The 19,689-nt window shown below is 56.6% G+C and overlaps 1 protein-coding gene across 2 annotated transcripts, besides 11 other annotated features; it reads left to right on the top strand.

The window, feature by feature from the left end:
- Nucleotides 4,356-4,505: an enhancer, noted in NCBI's record as "active region_11615". NCBI's record gives its function as "activates an Ori minimal core promoter by ATAC-STARR-seq in GM12878 lymphoblastoid cells {active_cell/tissue: GM12878}" and the evidence as "EXISTENCE:reporter gene assay evidence [ECO:0000049][PMID:35858748]".
- Nucleotides 5,386-5,435: an enhancer, noted in NCBI's record as "active region_11614". NCBI's record gives its function as "activates an Ori minimal core promoter by ATAC-STARR-seq in GM12878 lymphoblastoid cells {active_cell/tissue: GM12878}" and the evidence as "EXISTENCE:reporter gene assay evidence [ECO:0000049][PMID:35858748]".
- Nucleotides 5,466-5,645: an enhancer, noted in NCBI's record as "active region_11613". NCBI's record gives its function as "activates an Ori minimal core promoter by ATAC-STARR-seq in GM12878 lymphoblastoid cells {active_cell/tissue: GM12878}" and the evidence as "EXISTENCE:reporter gene assay evidence [ECO:0000049][PMID:35858748]".
- Nucleotides 5,466-5,875: a biological region, named in NCBI's record as "Sharpr-MPRA regulatory region 1992".
- Nucleotides 5,581-5,875: an enhancer, noted in NCBI's record as "tiled region #1992; HepG2 Activating DNase matched - State 1:Tss, and K562 Activating non-DNase unmatched - State 1:Tss". NCBI's record gives its function as "activates a minimal TATA promoter and a strong SV40 promoter by Sharpr-MPRA in HepG2 and K562 cells {active_cell/tissue: HepG2 | K562}" and the evidence as "EXISTENCE:reporter gene assay evidence [ECO:0000049][PMID:27701403]".
- Nucleotides 5,790-19,497, top strand: NEURL4 (neuralized E3 ubiquitin protein ligase 4). 2 transcript variants are annotated; one of them, NM_001005408.2, is made up of 29 exons: nt 5,790-6,094; nt 7,241-7,685; nt 7,895-7,960; nt 8,116-8,414; nt 8,577-8,688; nt 8,782-8,870; nt 9,412-9,484; nt 9,652-9,916; nt 10,145-10,326; nt 10,645-10,730; nt 10,855-11,017; nt 11,113-11,311; nt 11,402-11,478; nt 11,562-11,640; nt 12,002-12,171; nt 12,259-12,390; nt 13,115-13,260; nt 13,338-13,565; nt 13,666-13,764; nt 13,852-14,013; nt 14,202-14,366; nt 15,917-16,075; nt 16,451-16,630; nt 16,769-16,856; nt 16,953-17,060; nt 17,193-17,337; nt 17,552-17,664; nt 17,755-17,920; nt 18,798-19,497. In NM_001005408.2, exons 1-29 carry the CDS (start codon nt 5,813-5,815, stop codon nt 19,000-19,002), a joined length of 4,683 nt encoding a protein of 1,560 aa, NP_001005408.1. In that variant the 5' UTR covers nt 5,790-5,812; the 3' UTR covers nt 19,003-19,497. The 2 variants fall into 2 exon arrangements, with proteins under 2 accessions (NP_001005408.1, NP_115818.2); NM_032442.3 differs by having other exon boundaries at nt 12,002-12,177.
- Nucleotides 5,846-6,085: a silencer, noted in NCBI's record as "silent region_8108". NCBI's record gives its function as "represses an Ori minimal core promoter by ATAC-STARR-seq in GM12878 lymphoblastoid cells {active_cell/tissue: GM12878}" and the evidence as "EXISTENCE:reporter gene assay evidence [ECO:0000049][PMID:35858748]".
- Nucleotides 5,846-6,517: a biological region, named in NCBI's record as "H3K27ac hESC enhancer GRCh37_chr17:7231927-7232586".
- Nucleotides 5,858-6,517: an enhancer, noted in NCBI's record as "H3K27ac hESC enhancer chr17:7231927-7232586 (GRCh37/hg19 assembly coordinates)". NCBI's record gives its function as "activates a minimal SCP1, AML or CMV promoter by ChIP-STARR-seq in primed H9 embryonic stem cells {active_cell/tissue: H9 hESC(primed)}" and the evidence as "EXISTENCE:reporter gene assay evidence [ECO:0000049][PMID:30033119]".
- Nucleotides 10,772-11,277: an enhancer, noted in NCBI's record as "H3K4me1 hESC enhancer chr17:7227167-7227672 (GRCh37/hg19 assembly coordinates)". NCBI's record gives its function as "activates a minimal SCP1, AML or CMV promoter by ChIP-STARR-seq in naive H9 embryonic stem cells {active_cell/tissue: H9 hESC(naive)}" and the evidence as "EXISTENCE:reporter gene assay evidence [ECO:0000049][PMID:30033119]".
- Nucleotides 10,821-11,030: an enhancer, noted in NCBI's record as "active region_11612". NCBI's record gives its function as "activates an Ori minimal core promoter by ATAC-STARR-seq in GM12878 lymphoblastoid cells {active_cell/tissue: GM12878}" and the evidence as "EXISTENCE:reporter gene assay evidence [ECO:0000049][PMID:35858748]".
- Nucleotides 11,278-11,784: an enhancer, noted in NCBI's record as "H3K4me1 hESC enhancer chr17:7226660-7227166 (GRCh37/hg19 assembly coordinates)". NCBI's record gives its function as "activates a minimal SCP1, AML or CMV promoter by ChIP-STARR-seq in naive H9 embryonic stem cells {active_cell/tissue: H9 hESC(naive)}" and the evidence as "EXISTENCE:reporter gene assay evidence [ECO:0000049][PMID:30033119]".
- Nucleotides 19,498-19,689: the final 192 nt, after the last annotated feature.

Below are 19,689 nucleotides of genomic sequence, written 5' to 3'. Positions count from 1 at the left end.
CTGTTGCTGATGTACTGGCCTGAAAGAATTGGAGGGCTGGGAGATGGGAGCTTGCCAAGAGACAGCCCCAGGGAGATGGTGGCCTGGTGCCCTCAACAGGCTGCAATGTTGTCATTGTTGCCATCAGGGAGCTCTCCGTGGCCTTGTGATCCCTAAAGGGGCCTCCCATGTGGTCCAGTAGGTGGACTTCAGTGCTTACGGGGTTCTCAATCACCTAGGTCAAGCTTGTGGAGCCTAGAATCAGGGATCAGGGCTCGGGTACCCATCAGGCTGTGCATTCCCAGCCCTCCTGCCCCCTAGGCTGGCCTGCCCAGGTTCTCACCATCCTGATGCTCATCTTCCACGTCCTCTACAAGCTCTGGGTGGGAGCAGGACCTCAGGTATAGTCCTTTGCCATCATATTCCTTGTGCTGCAGAGCAATCTCCTGCCCCAATATGATAGTGGCCACAGCTGGGGGGACTGATTTCTGTAGGTGGAGGAATCTGAGGAATCAATCAAATGAATCCAAGTCTTCTAGCCATCTGGTGTATCCATGCCTCCCAGGTGTCTGTTGTGGGCCCTCACCAGAGGGGAGAAGCTCAGGCCCCAGATCCTCATCTCACTGACTTCTCTTACCCTTCCCATTTTAGAAAAACTTCAGTGACCGCTCCACCTCCCCCCATGGTTGTCTCGGACTTTTGTTTATTTTTTTATTTATTTTTTGAGACAAGATCTTGCTATGTTACCCAGGCTGGAATGTGTTAGTGCCATCATCGCTCACGGCAGCCTCAAACTCCTGGGCTCAAGCTATCCTCCCACCTTAGCCTCCCCAGTAGCCTGGACTACAGGTGCACGCCACCACACCTGGCTAATTAAAAACAATTTTTTTCTTTTTCTTTTTTTGTAGAGATGAGGTCTCCCTACGTTGCCCAGGCTGGTTTTGAACTTCTGGCCTCAAGCAATCCTCCCAAAGTGCTGGGATTACAGAAGTGAGCCACTGGGCCTGGCCAACAAATCAGCCCCCAATCAGACTTTCTGTTCCTCAACAGCCAATAATCTCCGGGGACTATCCTGAGTGGGGTCCTTCCTCCAGCTGCCCTCTTTCTTCCCTGGGGTTACTTCCCAGCATTACCTCCCTGTCAGGCAGCAGAGTCTTGGGCTGATAGCCACTGAGGAAGACAGACTGTGGTAGAGAAGTGAGGAACGGGCTCTGGAATACAACCCCCTCTAGTCCCTGGAGCCCCGCCATCGCTAACCCTCGGCTTCAAGGATGTGCCTCCAGGTGACCAGGCCTGGCTCATCTTTGGCTCCTCTGGCTAGTTCTCCTGCCAAGCCTCTCTGCACAGGCCTGGGCTCTGGGTCCAGCATCACGCCTTGACTGCCACCGCTGATACTGATAATACCACCATTGTCATCCTCATCCTCTTCATTCTCCAAGGGCTGGTTTTTCTGAGCCTTGAGAAACTTCCCTTTGTCATAGTGTGCCTTGCGGCGCTTGTCAAAGTCGGTGGAGTCTGTGACCATGGTGAGAGCTTGGCTTTCCCACCGCACTCTTGCCAAAGGCTCGCTCCACCTCCCCCTTTCCATTCAATCCACAACCCTCATCTCATGTTGTGGGCGAAAGATTACCTAGGTGCCAAGGTAAGAGACTGAAGGCACAAACTGTTTCAGTATAATAAAGAAATAGTTAGAATAAGAATAGTCATAATACAAATTAGATATAGAGATGATCATGGACAATTATCAATCATTATTATAGACATTATTAATCATTAGCTTTTAATATTACTGTTTGTTGCATTACTAATATAACCTAGGAATAACCGGCGGGTATAGGGTCAGGTGCTGAAGGGACATTGTGAGAAGTGACCTAGAAGGCAAGAGGTGAACCTTCTGTCACGCTCGCATAAGGGCCGCTTGAGGGCTCCTTGGTCAAGCGGTAACGCTAGTGCCTGGGAAGACACCCGTTACTTAGCAGATCGCGAAAGGGAGTCTCCTTTCCTTGGAGGAGTCAGGGAACACTCTGCTCCACCAGCTTCTTGTGGAAGGCTGGATATTATCCAGGCCTCCCCGCAGTCATCCGGAGGCCTAAACCCCTCCCTGTGGTGCTGTGCTTCAATGCTCACGCTCCTTGTCCACTTTCATGTTCCTCCCGTACTCCTGGTTCCTCTTTGAAATTCGTAGTAGAGAGCAGTAGAAGAAATAGTGAAAGTCTTAATGTCTTTGATCTTTCTTATCAGTGCATAGAAGAAAACGCTGACGTATGCTGCCTTCTCTCTCTACTTCGGCTACCTAAAAGGGAAGGGCCCCCTGTCCTGTGATCACGTGACTTGCTGCACCTTGTCAATCACTTAGAAGATTCACCCTCCTTACCCTGCCCCCTTGTCTTGTATGCAATAAATATCAGCGCAACCAGTGGTTCAGGGCCACTACCGGTCTCCGCGTCTTGGTAGTCATCCCCCAGGCCCAGCTGCTTTCTCTTTATCTCTTTGTCTTGTGTCTTAATTTATTACAATCTCTCGTCTCTGCACACGGTGGGGAACACCCGCTAAGCCCCATAGGGCTGGACCCTACATCATGTATCTTGGAAAAGTTGTCTGCAGGCCCTGAGCTCCTGTCAGCACAGTCCTGGCGGAACCTGGGGCAGATACTGTCCATCATGGCAATCCTGAAGGGGCAGGAGACTAGTTGGGGGCATCAAGAGAAGAAAATAGCAATGGGGACAGGTGGTAAACGAGGCCAAATTGGCGGACCCCTGCCCCCATCCAGGCCTGATGGAAATTGTAGCACCTCCCACTGCAGGTGTCAGAAAGCAGACCCGCTGCAGACCTGAATTCAGGGCTGAGGGAAGGAAGAGGCCCCATAACCCGGCTGATCTCTGGCAGGACTCTTACCTCTCTGCCAGCACTCCAGGATTCACTGAGCAGGAGGAGCCGGCAGAGAGGTCCTCAAAACTGTCCTGCAGCCTGCAGAGGAGGGGGAAGCAGTGCCGGGAGGTGGGTGTCAGGCAGTATCCAGTCCCTGAGGCGCTCTGCCTCCTCCACCTGTCCCCTCCTTTAAATAGAGAAGAATCTCTGGACTGAAGGGTTGGGGCTGAGGGCTCAGCACCTGTGGTAGGGAGTGTTGGGCTCATCCACCATCATAAATCCATAGTCCTTGTCAGCAGGGCGGTAGGTGGCCAGGATATTCATCTCGTCCCAGTGCTGAGACTTCCTTCTGGGGCTGGGGGAGGAGACCTTCTAATGACCCCCCCATAGGCCTCCCTCATTTTCCCAGTCATTCAAAACAGGTTTTTTTTGTTTTTGTTTTTGTTTTTTGCTTTTGTTTTTGTTTTGAGATGGAATCTTGGCTCTGTTGACCAAGCTGGAGTGCAGTGGCACGATCACAGCTCACGGCAACCTCTGCCTCCCGGGTTCAAGTGATTCTCCTGCCTCAGCCTCCTGAGTAGCTGGGATTACAGGCGTGCGCCACCACACCTGGCTAATTTTTGTATTTTTAGTAGAGATGGGGTTTCACCATGTTGGTCAGGCTGGTCTTGAACTCCTGACCTCGTGATCTGCCTGCCTCGCACTCCCAAAGTGCTGGGATTACAGGCATGAGCTACCCTGCGTGGCATTCAAAACAGTTTTTGTTGTTGTTTGTTTGTTTTTTGAGATGGAGTCTTGCTCTGTTTTCCAGACTGGAGTGCAATGGTGTGATCTCAGCTCATTGCAACCTCTGCCTCCCCGGTTCAAGCCATTCTCCTGCCTTAGCCTCCCAAGTAGCTGGGATTACAGGTGCCTGCCACCACACCCGGCTTATTTTTGTATTTTTAGTAGGGACAGGGTTTCACCATGTTGGCCGGGCTGGTCTCGAACTCCTGACCTCAGGTGATCTGCCCACCTCGGCCTCCCAAAGTGCTAGGATTACAGGCATGAGTCACCACTCCGACTCAAAACAGGTTTCTTATACCTTGTTGAGGCTGGGGATGGGGTCAGACTTAATGATAATCACAGTCCTGTGCAGCCACGGTTTATGGGGCACCTGCTCTTCTCCCGAAAGCCTGGAACCTCGGACTTCCCACTCAATTGCCCTCACCTACTCTAACTCTTCATTCTTAAGGCTCTGCCCCTTTCCTTCTGGCTCCCACCCTCAGGTGTCCTGAACCCTCCCGACTCTGGGCTGGCTGCCCGCAGAGCTGGGCTCCTTACTTCTCCACATTGGGGGATTTCTGCATCAAGTTGGAGCTGTTCTTTCGTAGGATGCTCCGGGGCCGGTCCTGTTGGGAGTTTTGGGGGTTCAAGCAAGTTGGCCCAGAGTGCGGACTGCACCCGGGGCTGTTTACCTCTTGCCCTGCAGGTCCCCCAGGCCCGGGGCTGGAAGCCCTGGATACACTGGTTCGAGGCCCGGGGATGTTGAATCCACCAGGGTTCCTGCCAGACCCAAGGCTGTGGTTCGCAGCCTCCCTTGGGTGCTGACTGGGCCCGGAACCAAGGACCACTATCCCCCCGGAGGGACAGCTTGAACCAGTACTATGAGTTACGGAGCCCCCTGAGTGCACGTGGGGCCCAGAACCGTGAAACAAGACTACTCTGGAGGGCTGCCCAGCGCCTGCCTCGACTCCTGTGACCGCTGCGGGCACTCCTCTGGCTGCCCCTCCAGGGGAATCCCGGTTGAGGCCGCCAGCAGCCCCTAGGGACTCCACCTTCTCCATGGCCCCACTGGGGGGCTGCTCTCAGCGATCCTGACCCGCCTCCCGGCTCCACGTAGCCCCGCCCCTGGCCCCGCCCCCACCGCTGCCGGCCGGGGATGCTCGGGCTCAGTCCCGGGTCCACTTCTCCCCTGCTCCAGAGCTGCGGCGGGCGGAATCAAGACTATATAGAGACTCGGGCTGGGGGTCCCTCCGCTCGCCCCTTTCCTTTGTGTCCCACCCAAAGATTTTCTTTGTCTGGGCAATTTGTTCCCGCCCTTCTCCATCACCACCCTCATCCAAACCAGCCAATCCCAGTCAGGGGGCCAGGCCAGGAGCTTCGACTGTGACCTCACGGTCCTCCAGCCTGAGCTTGAGCTTCGGGGAGTTGGGCAGGGGGCTTGTTAATAGCTCTAAGGGAGATCTTTTGGGGTCATCAACGCTGTCGCTTGAAACGGCCTGTCGGGACTTCTTTAGACTCTTTGTGGTCTTAACATGGAATAGTTTGGTTGAGTTGGAGTTGAAGCTGGGCTTGACTTGAACTATCAGCGAGCTTCCCCCACCCCCGCCAGTCGGCTAGCTCAGCCAATCAGAAGAGGTGTGAGGCAAAGTGGAAGGACTGCCGCACTGTTGCAAGACACTTCGTCCTCAGTCGGGTGGCGGGAAGAGACTTTCACTACCGCTTCTCTGGGTCCTCCAGACTCGGCTCACGCTGCTTTGGAGCCTGCATCCCGAGGGGAGACACCCCCTCTTGCCGTAAAGCGAGTGCTTCAAGGTGTCACCGCCCCCTAGCGAGGGCGGGGTCGTCGGTGCCGCTGTCGCAAAGCAGAAAGTGTTTGGGCTCCAGCACCCCACCGTCGTAAAGATGCCTGCGGTGGGCGTGTCTTTCTCCCACTGTCGCAAAAGCTCCCTGCCCAGGTCTTCGTCCCCCTCGGAGCCGCTCCGTCACCTCGCTATGCCGTAAAGCGAGGCTCCCGACCCCGTGTCCTTCTGTTCTCATCGTGGTCGTCCCCAGCTCCTAGCGCGGGCTGCTTCATTGCCCGGCAGTGCCGTAAAGCATACCTGGCCTCAGCCCCCCGGTCGTATCCCTCGGACTGTCTGCCCGACGCGGTTGCCACGGTGCCGCCAAGCGCGGCTGTCGCGCTGCCCCGGTGTCAGCGGAGATGGCGGCAGGGTCGGGTGGGAGTGGGGGCTCTGGGGGAGGCCCTGGACCGGGGCCGGGCGGGGGTGGGGGCCCCAGCGGGAGCGGCTCAGGACCGGGGTCCAACGGGGGTCTGGGCAGCGGCGGGGAACTGCACCCGCGCACTGGGCGCTTGGTGAGCCTGTCGGCCTGTGGGCGTACGGCGCGGCGGCAGCAGCCGGGCCAGGAGTTTAACCACGGGCTGGTGTTGAGCCGAGAACCCTTGCGCGATGGACGCGTCTTCACCGTCCGCATCGACCGCAAGGTGCAGCGCTGGTACCGCGGAACAGAGATGTGGAGGGTGGTGGGAGGCGTCTAGAGGGAGACGGGGTAGGACAGCCAGGGTAGCCCACATTGCCGGGCACCGAGAGGGAACAGAAAGACCATAGAGCACCAGGGGGCGGTCAGGAAGACAGCATGAAGCAGAAACATTGAGTTTGAAGATGACATTAAGAGCTTGAGTTTTCTCAAGATCCAGAACCAGGGAAGGGACACGAGGGCTAACCCACTAGAATGGCTGGGAACAGACCTCCTGGTACAATTTCTTGGGCATGGAGGATGGAGAGATGTCAGAGATGTGATGGCAAGTGAAGAAAGATGCCAAGGAACGAACAAACGTAATCCCAGCACTTTGGGAGTCCGAGGCGGGCGGATCACTAGAGTCAGGGGTTTGAGACCAGCCTGGTGAACGTGGTGAAACCCCGTCTTTACTAAAAATACAAAAATTGGCCAGGCATGGTGGCGTGCGCCTGTAATCCCAGCTACTCTGGAGGCTGAGGCAGGAGAATGGCTTGAACCCGGGAGGCAGAGGTTGCAGTGAGCTGAGATCATGCCATTGCACTCCAGCCTGGGCAATAGAGTGAGTGAGACTCCGTCTCAAAAAAACAGAACAAACCATTGAAGGACAGAGGCTGTGCCAGAAAGATAGGTGAGGAGAAAGATCCAGGGTGAGGGAGGTGTGTGTGATTCAGTGAAGAGGCCAGGCTCACAGAAAAAGAACTTGGAAGGAGATTGAATCTGGGTAGAGCCTGATCTTTGGAGAGAATTAGGCCAGGGGAAAGGAATGAATGATACACAAGAGCAAGAGGTGTGGGTATAGGAAGTAGGAGAATTTGGATGGTTGGAGAGCCATAGAGACAAGGAAAGTTAGAGGAGGCAGGAGGTTGGAACCAAGGAATTTGTGCTTGGCTTGGAAAGGAGTGGTTTAGTAAACACTGAGTAGAGAGCAGAGTTGCTAAAGGAAAGCCCAAATAATTACCAAGACGGAGTCCAGAAAATCACTGTCTGCATCTCTGGATTAGTGTTCCAAGAGACAGAAAGCCAGCTAGCTGTCTGAGAGGTGGGAAGATATGGTGGCCTGTGGAATGGGGGGTGGCCCATTCTAAGCCTCTGTCCAATACCCCTATCCCAGGTCAACTCCTGGAGCGGCTCCATTGAGATTGGGGTGACAGCGCTGGACCCCAGTGTGCTGGACTTTCCAAGCAGTGCCACGGGCCTGAAGGGGGGCTCGTGGGTAGTGTCGGGCTGCTCTGTGCTGAGAGATGGACGCTCTGTGTTGGAGGAGTATGGTCAGGACCTGGACCAGCTTGGTGAAGGGGACCGCGTGGGCGTGGAGCGCACAGTTGCTGGGGAGCTTCGGCTCTGGGTGAATGGGCGGGATTGCGGTGTGGCTGCCACAGGCCTGCCCCCTCGTGTCTGGGCCGTCGTGGACCTTTATGGCAAGTGCACCCAGATCACCGTGCTACCCCCTGAGCCAGGCTTCAGCCCCCCTACTCCCATCCCCACACCTCCCCTCGAGCCCTTGGCCCCCACTGAAGACTCTGCCTTGGCTGAACAGGGGACCTCTGCAGATGAAGGTGAGAACACAGCTAGGGCAGTGGTGGTGGGGTGGGGACGGAATGGGGGAAATAGAGTGACAAGACAGGCTGGGTGTGGGCAGGGCCACCCTGATCCCCAAGTCTGTTGAATGGGAGAGCAGGAGCTAGAGGATGGGGGGTTCTCCTGGCTATGGGCCGTGAAGCAGGGACTGAACCCTTATTCCCCTCCCATCCCACCTGGTCCCCAGCCTTCATGGTGTCCCCAGCGCAGGCCCGGCCGGAGACGTTTCCTAACAGCCTTGAGTCGCATAATGGTGAGGGCTTTGGGGAGGCCCTGGGAAGGGGAGTGGGAAGTGAGGTGGACAAGGGAGGGCCCTCAGGAGAAGGGGTAGGGAGAGAGGCACCAGGTCTGGGGGTGTAGAGCCTCATCCCAACTTCCGAGCTTCCTTCTTCCATCCTGCTGCTATAGACTTTGCCAACATGGAGCTGTCTGAGGTGGTGAGCAACACCATCCTGTCTGCCTACAATGGAGGGCTCCTGAATGTGAACCTGAGCTCCCCACCGGCAGGGGAAGGCCTGGGATCTAGCGGTGCTGCCACCTCGCCCATTCTCACTTCCAACGATGCCCTGCTCTTTCATGAAAAGTGCGGGACCCTCATCAAACTCAGCAACAATAATAAGACGGCTGAGCGCCGGCGGCCCCTGGATGAATTCAACAATGGGGTTGTCATGACCAATCGCCCCCTTCGGGACAATGAGATGTTTGAGGTGTGCAAAGTCCTGTGGTCTGGTTGGCGCCTTATCCCTGGGAGCTAAAGATGGGGATTGACCCTTGGTGCTAGGAGGGTGGGCCCTGGGGAAGAACCAAGGGCTGAAGGTCCCTTTCTGCATTTACATTCCCTGCTTCTCCCTTCTGTCCCTCAATGCCAGATCCGTATCGACAAGCTTGTTGATAAGTGGTCAGGCTCCATTGAGATTGGGGTCACCACCCACAACCCCAACAGTTTGGAGTACCCAGCCACCATGACCAACCTCCAGTCAGGTACCAGCCCCGGGCAGGGGCGGGGGTGCAGGCCTGGTGTTGCTGAGGGGAAGGAAGCCCCGTACCCGAACCCAAGTGTCCACTATCACCCAGGCACCATCATGATGAGCGGCTGTGGAATCCTGACCAATGGCAAGGGCACCCGCCGGGAGTACTGCGAATTCAGTCTGGATGAGTTGCAGGTGAGGGTGGGGCACAGATCCCTGGGCCGCTTTCAGCAGAGCCACAGGTACTCTGTGTCCCTGCCAGGGCACCAAGCAGGGTCTCCTATGTGACCTAGAGGCAGTCCCTGTATCTTCCACCTAAAGGTTCCTTCCTAGAAGCCTGAGTTGCCCAAGAGTTCAGCACTCAGATTTTGGAGTCAGATGGTTGAATTCCTCTTACTGTTTTCCCATTTGTAGTAGCGAACCGGGGCAAGAAGCTTATCCTCTTTGATTGCTCCCCCACCTCCTGCAATCTCTAAAATGAGCCTACGAGTAGTACTTATTCCATAGGCTGAGACTTGTAGAAGCTAATGTCTGTGAGGTGGTTTAACTCAGTGCCTGACTCACGTGGAGCATTGACGAAATGTGGAAATTGTCATGTCTGGAAAACAAGGACCCAGGACCTGTCCTCCAGGGTGGTCTGAGACTCTCACGAATACCTTCTGGAGTTGTTCCTGTGTGGAGTGGGGTGCTGAGCAGGCCTCAGGACTCCTCTAAACTGTTTGTCTTCTTTGATTAGGAGGGTGACCACATTGGCCTCACAAGGAAGTCCAACTCTGCCCTACACTTCTTCATTAATGGTATCGATCAGGGTAAGGGCCGCCCAGAGAGAGCCTCTGGGCCGGGGCTTTCGGTGGGGCTGGGACTGGGGGCTGTACCTCATCCTCCTGCTTCTCTTTGGTGCTTGGCCTCCCTGTGTTTGACTTTCTCCCCTCATTCTCCCTGTCCACTCCCACACCCCCGTACCTTCCTGCCACAGGAGTGGCAACCCCCTTGACGCCCCCAGTGGTGTATGGTGTGGTGGACTTGTACGGGATGGCAGTGAAGGTGACCATCGTCCACAATAACAACCACAGTGACCGTCTCCGCCGAAACAACGCCATCCTGCGGGCGCTGTCCCCCGAGGGTGCTCTCCGCCGTGCTGCCCCTGCCGCCCAGGCAGAACCTGAGCGCCTGCTCTTCCACCCCAACTGTGGGCAGAAGGCAGCCATCACCCACGAGGGACGCACTGCCCTGAGGCCCCAGTATGGCCCATGGGGTGGGGAGAAGCCTGAAGAAGGGATTCTAATGGGGGGGGGGGGGCGGGGCAAGGAAGTGGAAGGCAGAGGGAGCCTGGCGGGGGCAGCTTCCTGGAGGTTGAGCTTTAGTTCTTTGGCTTGGGGCAGTGAGTGTTGGCAGGCATTGCTGGGCTAAGCCTTGGCACATTGAGAGCGTGTGTTGGGGATCTGACTCTCCACTTGCTGTGCCCTCAGTGCCACCGATGACTTCAATCACGGCGTGGTGCTGAGCAGCAGAGCCCTGCGGGATGGAGAGGTGTTCCAGGTGCGCATCGACAAGATGGTGGACAAATGGGCTGGCTCCATTGAAATTGGTGTCACCACCCACAACCCTGCCTACCTCCAGTTGCCCTCCACCATGACCAACTTGCGCTCTGGTGAGCTCCCAGGAAGGGCAGGGACAGGATAGGGTTTTGGGGGGAAGCTATCCCCAAAGCCCTGGCACTTGTTCTGCAGCTCCTTTTTCACTTGTCACTCTTGTGACCACTCATTCAGTGGCTAGAGAGTGTCCCGTGGGCAGGGCTGTGGCTGTCTTGGAAGCTGCAGAGTTTTCTTGTCCTGCTCAGGGAAGAAATCTAGTCATCAAAGAAAAGGCAAGGTGGACTGTGGGCTCGGGAGTCCTGTGGGCGCTGCTGTGGCAAGGAGAGGAGCCCTGCATTTCCCCTCATGTCCCCTCCTGCTCCTTGTCCTCCCAGGGACCTGGATGATGACTGGGAATGGGGTGATGCACAATGGGACGACCATCCTGGATGAATACGGGCACAATCTGGACCGCCTCAAGGTGGGAAAGTGGGTGCGCCGCCTGGCGGCCGCAGCGGGCATCACAAACACCGCGGGGCTGATGCAGGACCAGCCCCGGCAGGAACTCTGCCTGACTCCTCACTCCAGCACCCCCTTCTTCCAAGGCAGGGGACACGGTGGGCGTGGTACGGCGGGAGGACGGGACTCTCCACTTCTTTGTCAATGGGATGACTCAGGGCCCTGCTGCCTGGAACGTGCCCCCGGGCGTCTATGCTGTCGTCGATCTCTATGGCCAGGCGGCCCAGGCCACCATTGTGGACGACGTGGGTGAGGGCCGGGCTGGGCTGGGGCTGGGGGTTAGGGTGGCCTTGGGAGGTCTGAGAGACACCTAGAGACCTGATGGGTGATGTCCACTTTTACAGAGGTGGCTCCAGTTCCTGAACCACTCCCTGAGGGGAACAACCAGGTGTCTCCAAGCTCTCCGTCCTCAGGGGCCGGGGGCTCTGACCTGCGCTTCCATCAGCTGCACGGCAGTAACGCAGTCATCACTAACGGGGGCCGCACCGCCCTCCGCCACAACTGTCGCAGCGAGTTTAATGACGCCATCGTCATCTCCAACCGGTCAGTCTCTCAACTTTCATGTCCCCACCTTCCTCCTGCCCAGCCTCAGCCATGCAAGTAGAGCCTCTCTGATCGCCAGTCTCCTGGCAGGGCCCTGCGGGATGGAGAGCTGTTTGAAATTGTCATTCAGAAGATGGTGGACCGCTGGTCAGGCTCCATTGAGGCTGGTGAGGGCCGTCTGTGTGTGTTGGGGGCTGTTGGATGTCTGTGCCTTGGGGATCGGCCTTGACTTACCCCTGCCTCCTCCCAGGAGTGACTGCTATTCGGCCTGAAGACCTGGAATTCCCCAACACCATGACAGACATTGACTATGACACATGGATGCTGAGGTTGGGCTTCCTGCTTTGGGGACCAGCTTGGGGCTGAGTGGAGCTGGCTGGGATCAGGGAAGCAAGGTTTGGGCCTATGGTGGCTGTGGGTAGTGACAGACCTAGGGGATCTACCTGTCCCCTCCCCTTGAATTCTGGGAAGTCCTGCCCAGGCCCACAGGGGCTCAGTCCTCCTTCATCTTAGGCAGTTCTTGCTTTTTCCTAAGGGGATCCCAGGGACAGAGGAGATAGGATTGGGCCTTACACCCAGATCAAGACACCAGCCCAAGACATTGGAGGGTTCTGACAGACAGGGAGTGGGCAGGGGCCAATGTGAAGTTGAAGTTGGCAGGCTGACTCACCCCTTCTGCCATCCCCCCAGTGGTACAGCCATCATGCAAGACGGTAACACGATGCGCAACAATTATGGGTGTGACCTGGATGCGCTGGGCACAGGTGCACGCATTGGCATGATGCGAACTGCCAAGGGCGACCTGCACTACTTCATCAACGGCCAGGACCAAGGCGCTGCCTGCTCGGGCCTGCCTCCGGGTAAAGGTGACTATGTGGCTTTCAGCCTGCCACCCTCAGCCCAGACCACCTGGCTGTCAGGCTTCTGACCTTCCCTCTCCTCCCCAGAGGTGTATGCGGTAGTCGATCTCTATGGCCAGTGTGTCCAAGTGTCCATCACCAATGCCACCGGCCCCATGGACAACAGCCTGGCGACCAGCAACACTGCCACCGAGAAGTCCTTCCCACTGCACTCCCCAGGTGCGGCAGCAGGGCGGGGGCTGGACGGGCTCTGCTTGCCTGCTGTGCACCTGAGGAGTAGGGTTTCCAGGTTAGAGAGGTTCTGCAAAGACGGTTGGCTGGGGTAGCTGCCGGCTCCAGGGAAGGGACAGCCCACGGTGGCAAGCAGCCAGTGAGGGGGAGGTTACACCTGGTACTTAGAGCCTGGACACTTCCCTGCCACCAAGGGGCCAGGACACCATAAGCTGAGCATGCCAGGTTTGGAAATGGGCCTTGCTGTGGTGAAAAGAGGTATCAGGGCCGGGCGCAGTAGCTCACGCCTGTAATCCCAGCACTTTGGGAGTTCAAGGCAGGTGGATCTCTCGAGCACAAGAGTTTGAGACCAGCCTGGGAAACATGGCGAAACCCCGTCTGTACCAAAAATACAAAATGTAGGCAGGTGTGGTGGCATGCACCTGTGGTCCCAGCTACTTGAGAGGCTGAGGTGGGAGGATAGCTGGATCCCAGGAAGTCGAGGCTGCAGTGAGCCACGACTGTGCCCCTGCACTCCAGCCTGAGTGACAGAGCGAGACTCTGCCTCAACAAAATACAATAAAGAGGTGTCAGGAGGCCCTGAGGTGTAATGGCAGATGGCAGATGGGGCGTTGGCATCCCCATTTCGTTTCATCTGAAAGCTTTGCTCTGTGTTCTGCCTGAAGCTCGCTGCCCCAATCCTACCCCTTCTACTGGTGCCATCTCTTCACAGTGGCTGGCGTGGCTCACCGATTCCACAGTACTTGCGGCAAGAACGTCACTCTAGAGGAGGATGGCACGAGGGCAGTGCGTGCCGCTGGCTATGCTCATGGCCTTGTCTTCAGTACCAAGGAGCTGAGGGCTGAGGAAGTCTTTGAGGTAGGCCGTAGTGATGTGACAGAGGGGCTGCGAGGCCCATCACGACAGGGCCAGCTTATGTTTTCTCTGTCTCGTAGGTGAAAGTGGAAGAGCTAGATGAGAAGTGGGCAGGTTCCCTGCGGCTGGGGCTGACCACACTAGCACCGGGGGAGATGGGACCCGGGGCAGGCGGTGGTGGCCCAGGGCTGCCTCCTTCCCTGCCAGAGCTCCGGACGAAGACCACTTGGATGGTATCCAGCTGTGAAGTGAGGCGTGATGGGCAGCTCCAGAGGATGAACTATGGCCGGAACCTAGAGAGGCTGGGGGTGAAGTGGCTGGCTCCAGGGACAGGGGAGGGGTTGGGAGTGGAGGTGGCAGGGAGAGGTGGGCTGAACATCGTCCGTCCTTGTCCTACCTCGGTCCTAGGTGGGGAGCCGTGTGGGTGTTCGTCGGGGGGCAGATGACACGATGCACATCCTGGTGGATGGAGAGGATATGGGGCCTGCAGCCACTGGCATTGCCAAGGTAGACCTGAACGCTTCCTTGGGTTCTGGGAGGATGGTTGAGGTCTTCTGCTGATCTCTGATTTTCTGGGTCTTGTGTGCCTCCCAGAACGTGTGGGCTGTGTTGGATCTCTACGGGCCAGTCCGCGGTGTGTCAATTGTCAGTTCCACGAGACTGGAGGAGTCAGAAGGCACCCAGCCTCCTTCCCCCAGTTCAGACACCGGCAGTGAGGGCGAGGAGGATGACGAGGGCGAGGAGCATGGCCTGGGAGTAAGAGGCTGCAGCATGGTCTGCTGTGCACATGGATGGGCAGTTGCTGGGCCGTTGGATGCCAGGCCTTTTCTGGGTTCTCTGATCGTTGGGTGGAGGCTCACACTCAGGATCTGTGCAAACTCCAGTGGGGTGGGTCAGTCCTGGCATTGGCAACCCATGCAGCTCAGTCCCTTCCTCCACACCAGGGCCAGAATGAAGTGGGTATTATACCCACCACCCTCGAGTTCCTGGAGAACCATGGGAAGAATATCCTTTTGTCTAATGGGAACCGTACGGCCACACGGGTGGCCAGCTACAATCAGGGCATCGTTGTCATCAACCAACCTCTGGTGCCCCAGCTGCTGGTGCAGGTGGGTTCTCCCTCCCTATCCCCAGCTTCTCTCGCTCCACAGTGACCCATGGCCAACCCCCCTGAAAAAAGGCCTTTTTGTGTGGAGAAAAAGAAAGCAAGCCACTTGGATGAGCTTCCTAGGCTTTTATTCATAGCCTGTAATGAGGGTCATCAGTCAGTTACCACGAAGTCCCTACCTGGTGATTGGTGAGGGAAGCAGTAGGGACAGGCTGGAGGAGTCCAAGAGAAATGCCTGATCCTATATGTGGGAGCAGAGAGGGCTTTCCAGAAGAAGGTGCCTTTTTGCTACAAACTGAAAGATATGTGAAAGTTAGCCAGCTGAGCCCGGGTGCGGTGGCTCATACCTGTAATCCCAGAACTTTTGGAGGCCAAGGCAGGCGGATCGCTTGAGCTCACGAGTTCGCGACCAGCCTAGGCAATATAGTGAAACTCTGTCTCTACAAAAAAAATACAAAAATTCTCCAGGCATGGTGGCACGAGCCTGTAATCCCAGCTACTCGGGAGGCTGAGGTGGGAGGATCACTTGAACCTGGGAGGCAGAGGTTACAGTAAGCCGAGATCACGCCACCGCACTCTAGCCTGGGAGATAGAGCAAGACCTTGTATCTTAAAAAAAAAAAGAAAAAAAGGCCAGGCTCAGTGGCTCATGCCTGTAATCGCAACACTTTGGAAGGCCGAGGCGGGCAGATCACGAGATCAGGAGATCAAGACCATCCTGGCTAACACGGTGAAACCCCGTCTCTACTAAAAAATACAAAAAATTAGCCGGGCGTGGTGGCGGGCGCCTGTAGTCCCAGCTACTCGGGAGGCTGAGGCAGGAGAATGGCTTGAACCCAGGAGGCGGAGCTTGCAGTGAGCCGAGATCGCACCGCTGCACTCCAGCCTGGGCAACAGAGCGAGACTCCGTCTCAATAAAAAAAAAGAAAGGAAAAGAAAACTAGCTAGGTGAAGGAAGTCCTAGGAATAAGAATCCTTAGAGATCCTTACAGAGGCAACAGCAAGGTCAAGGCTCAAACAGCATGTTTTTTTTTTGTTTTTTTGTTTTTTTGTTTTTTTTGAGACGGAGTTTAGCTCTTGTCGCCCAGGCTAGAGTGCAATGGTATGATCTCGGCTCACCGCAACCTCCACCTCCCGGGTTCAAGCGATTCTTCTGCCTCAGCCTCCCAAGTAGCTGGGACTACAGGCATATGACACTACGCCCGGCTAATTTTGTATTTTTAGTAGAGACGGAGTTTCACCATGTTGGTCAGGCTGGTCTCAAACTCCTGACCTCAGGTGATCCACCCACCTCAGCCTCCCAAAGTGCTGGGATTACAGTGTGGGTCACCATGCCCGGCTGGCGGTTCTTTTTTTTAAAAAAAAAAAAAAAAAAAAAAAAAAAAAGAGGGAAAGAAACAACTAAATTAGCGTTTTCTGGTCCTTCCAAGCATAAGAAAAGGCAGCATCCCAGGCCACATTCTGGGAGGTGCAGTATTCCCTCTCTGGCTGGGGTGCGGAGCCTGGTTCTTCCCAGGAGGCTGTGATTATGGAGTAGTTCTTTCTTCCCCAGGTGCGGATAGATTTCCTAAACCGACAGTGGACATCTTCCCTTGTCCTGGGAGTCATCACCTGCGCGCCTGAGAGGCTCAACTTCCCTGCTTCTGCCTGTGCCCTCAAACGGGCAGCCTGGCTGCTGCGGGGCCGTGGGGTCTTCCACAACGGTCTCAAGGTGAGTAGGAGCCAGAGAGAAGGAACAGGACCAGGCCTGTGAGTAGAGAAGGGCTGGCCAGAAGGGAGAAGTGGGCCCCTAGCCTTGGAGGTAGGACCACAGGTGTAAAAGGGGAACAGTAATGGGCAGGCAAGGGCGAGTAGCATTGCCTGGTCAGTCTTAGGCCTGCTGCTTCCTGCGGTGTCCCTGCCATTGAGAATGTGCCAGTTTTGGGGAAGGGGAGGGGCTCTAGGTAACTGCAGTGGGAGGAGAACCTCGGCAGTGGGCAAGCATGGAGGCAAAGCCAAGGCACTGGCAAAAGGAAGCAGAGCAAAGGGCGGGACAGCTGCCGCGGTGGAGTCTGACCTCTGGAAGACAGCCGGTCTCTCCTCCCAGATCTGCGAGAAGTTTGGGCCCAATCTGGACACGTGCCCTGAAGGCACCATCCTGGGACTGCGGCTGGACAGCTCTGGGGGGCTGCATCTTCATGTTAATGGGGTGGACCAGGGGGTAGCTGTGCCAGATGTGCCCCAGCCCTGCCATGCGCTTGTGGACCTCTATGGGCAGTGTGAGCAGGTTAGTGGCAGTGGGGGCAGGGAGGAGGGGTGCCTGAGAGTCTGCGCTGTCCAGGACAGGGGAAATCTCTGTTCCAGGGAGGGATCAGCAGGCCCTGGGGTCTGACCAAGCTCTGTCTGACTACCCTCTCCCCTGCAGGTGACAATCGTGAACCCTGAGCCAGGGGCTGCCAGTGGGAAAAGTGCTGGAACCCAAGGGGACATGGAGAAAGCAGACATGGTGGACGGTGTGCCAGCCCAAAGGGACCCAGCTCCTGCCCCTACTCCCCCACCCTCACCCTTCTAGCCCAGCTCCTGTGACCTGTGCCCCTCTGCTCCCTCAGGTATCAAAGAGAGTGTGTGCTGGGGTCCACCACCTGCCGCTAGTCCTCTAAAGAGCTGCGAGTACCATGCCCTTTGCTCTCGCTTCCAAGAACTCCTGCTGCTTCCCGGTGAGTCCCACAGTCCGCCAGAACTGACTTCATTCCCAGGGCCAGGCCTAGAGCCTTGGAGAGCAGCTGGAGGGTGCCACTGTGGTTGAGGTGGGAGCCACAGCACCAAGCCTGCTACTCACTGTCCCGCAGAAGATTATTTCATGCCTCCGCCAAAGCGAAGCCTGTGCTACTGTGAGTCTTGCCGGAAGCTGCGAGGAGACGAGGCCCACAGGCGCAGAGGGGAGCCTCCCCGGGAATATGCACTGCCCTTTGGCTGGTGCAGGTTCAACCTCAGGTACATATGGGCAAGGTCATGCCTTTCCCCTACTGTTTTCCCCCTGGAGAAACGGGGATCCCAAGAGGGTGCATGGAAGAAGTAATAGAACTTCCTGTCTAAGGAAAAGCCAGGAAGTGCCAGGGACTTCCTGTCTAAGGAAGAGCCTCGTGAAGCTCCTCCACTGGGGAGTCAGTGGCCTTCGTTGTATCTGCCCCGCTTGTCCACCTCCTAGAGTGAATCCCCGCCTGGAGGCTGGGACACTAACCAAGAAGTGGCACATGGCATATCACGGGAGCAATGTTGCCGCTGTACGGAGAGTGCTGGACCGAGGGGAGCTGGGAGCAGGTACTGGCGAGTAGGCCCATGCAAGGTGGGCTGAGCCTGGGGGGCTGTGGAGGAATAAAAAGGGCTATCCTGACCCAGTTCTCCTCCCAGGTACTGCCTCCATCCTGAGCTGCCGTCCTTTGAAGGGAGAACCTGGGGTAGGGTTCGAGGAGCCTGGCGAGAACTGTGCACCTCCTCGGGAGGAGCAGCCCCCTCCTGTGCTGCTTTCCCCCTCCCTTCAATATGCTGGGGCGGAGACCCTGGCCTCCAAAGTGCAGTGAGTACTGGGAGGGGTGGGGAGAGATTTCCAGGGGCTCGGATGGAGAGGGCCCAAGCGCAGCCACTGGGGTCTTCATGATTCGCCCTCCCCTTTTCTCATCTCGTCTTGCTAGCTGCCAGTCTCCAACTCAGCCCTTTCTTCATTCATTGAACAAATACTACTTATATACTCTTCTAGTGGGCAAAAAAAGGAACCTTGCTCTTGTGGAACTTCTGCCTTTTCTCTCTACAATGTTCATACGTAATAAGTATTATTTATTTATTTATTTTTATTTTTATTTTTTTTGAGACGGAGTCCTGCTCTGTCACCCAGGCTGGAGTGCAGTGGCGTGATCTCACTGCAACCTCCACCTCCTGGGTTCAAGCGATTCTCCTGCCTCAGCCTCCTGAGTAGCTGGGACTACAGGCACGCACCACCAAGCCCGGATAATTTTTGTATTTTTAGTAGAGACGGGGTTTCGCCATGTTGGCCAGGATGGTCTCGATCTCCTGACCTCGTGATCCGCCCACCTCGGCCTCCCAAAGGGCTGGGACAGGCGTGAGCCACCGCGCCCCGCCAGTATTTAGTATTTTTAAAGGTAATAAGTAAGGACTATGGAAACAGAGAAAGAATGGGGCGGAGACAGCAGTGCGGTTGGTGTGGACATCCTAAGAAGGTGGGAGAGATTCGAGCAAAGGCTTGAAGAAGGAAGTGAAGGGTGTAGCTGAGCAGGCTTTGGGAGGAAGAGCATTTCAGGTAGAACAGCTAGAGCGAAGTTCCCATAAGGTGGGAGTATTTCCTAGGTACAGCAAGGCTTGTGTGGTTGGAACAGACTTTGCAAGGGGGAGGTGATGGGGCGAGAGGCTTCACTCCCTTATTTTTTCTTGTCTGACAGATTCCGGGACCCCAAATCCCAGCGGACGCACCAGGCTCAGGTGGCGTTCCAGGTGTGTGTGCGCCCTGGCTCCTACACCCCGGGACCCCCTTCCGCTGCCCTTGGAGAACCTCCTGACCCTCACTTCAGTCCAGCCGAACTTGAGTGGGTCACTAAGGAGAAGGGGGCCACACTCCTCTGTGCCCTGCTGGTACGGGTGGAATGAGGGGTGAGACACCACTACTACAAGCACAGTCGGGCCGCGGGCCCATGGACTCTGAGTGGCGACTGCCTCCACCTCATTCCCGTGACTCGTGGCATGCGCAGGTGCTGGAGCTTGGCAGCCGCGCAGGAGCATGTAGGCAGGCTCTCAGATGTAGGTGGCAAGTGGCACAGCTCCATGTCCGGAGGCCCAGCACTCCGTCTGATGGGAGGAGTCGTGGGAGCCCAGCTCCAGGCCCTGGTACCCCTCTTCATGCACTGATTTGGGGAACATGACTCCCTTTTACTCCCCTACCCCACATCACTTAATTTATTTCCGTTTTTGTTTCTGGTTACTGTGAATCCCAGAGGAGTCTCTCCCTGTGCCCACATGAAGCTGCTTTTTCCGGGGCCACCGGGCGGGAGTGGGGAAGGGTGGGCGCACGGAAGATGGGGGCCTCTGTACAGTTGTTACTGACTCTGATTTCTAAGGAGCCAATAAACACCGTCTCAGAGCCTCCGCCTCGGCCTCTCTCTCGCGCGCCCCTCTCCGGAGCCCGCGTCCCCTGGGGTGCCACCAGGTGGGCCCGCGAAATTAAAGAGAGCTGAGGATGCCAAGGCCAGTCTGCAGCCGTCGTCGCTCACGTTCCCGGCGACGGGGTTTGTACGCCGCGGGCACCCGTCGCAGCGCGCTTCCGCCTTCTTTCACCTG

This window comes from Homo sapiens, chromosome 17, assembly GCF_000001405.40.
Source record: "Homo sapiens chromosome 17, GRCh38.p14 Primary Assembly".
In the NCBI taxonomy this organism is placed as follows: domain Eukaryota; kingdom Metazoa; phylum Chordata; class Mammalia; order Primates; family Hominidae; genus Homo; species Homo sapiens.
This window is presented reverse-complemented; position numbering and strand designations above follow the sequence as displayed.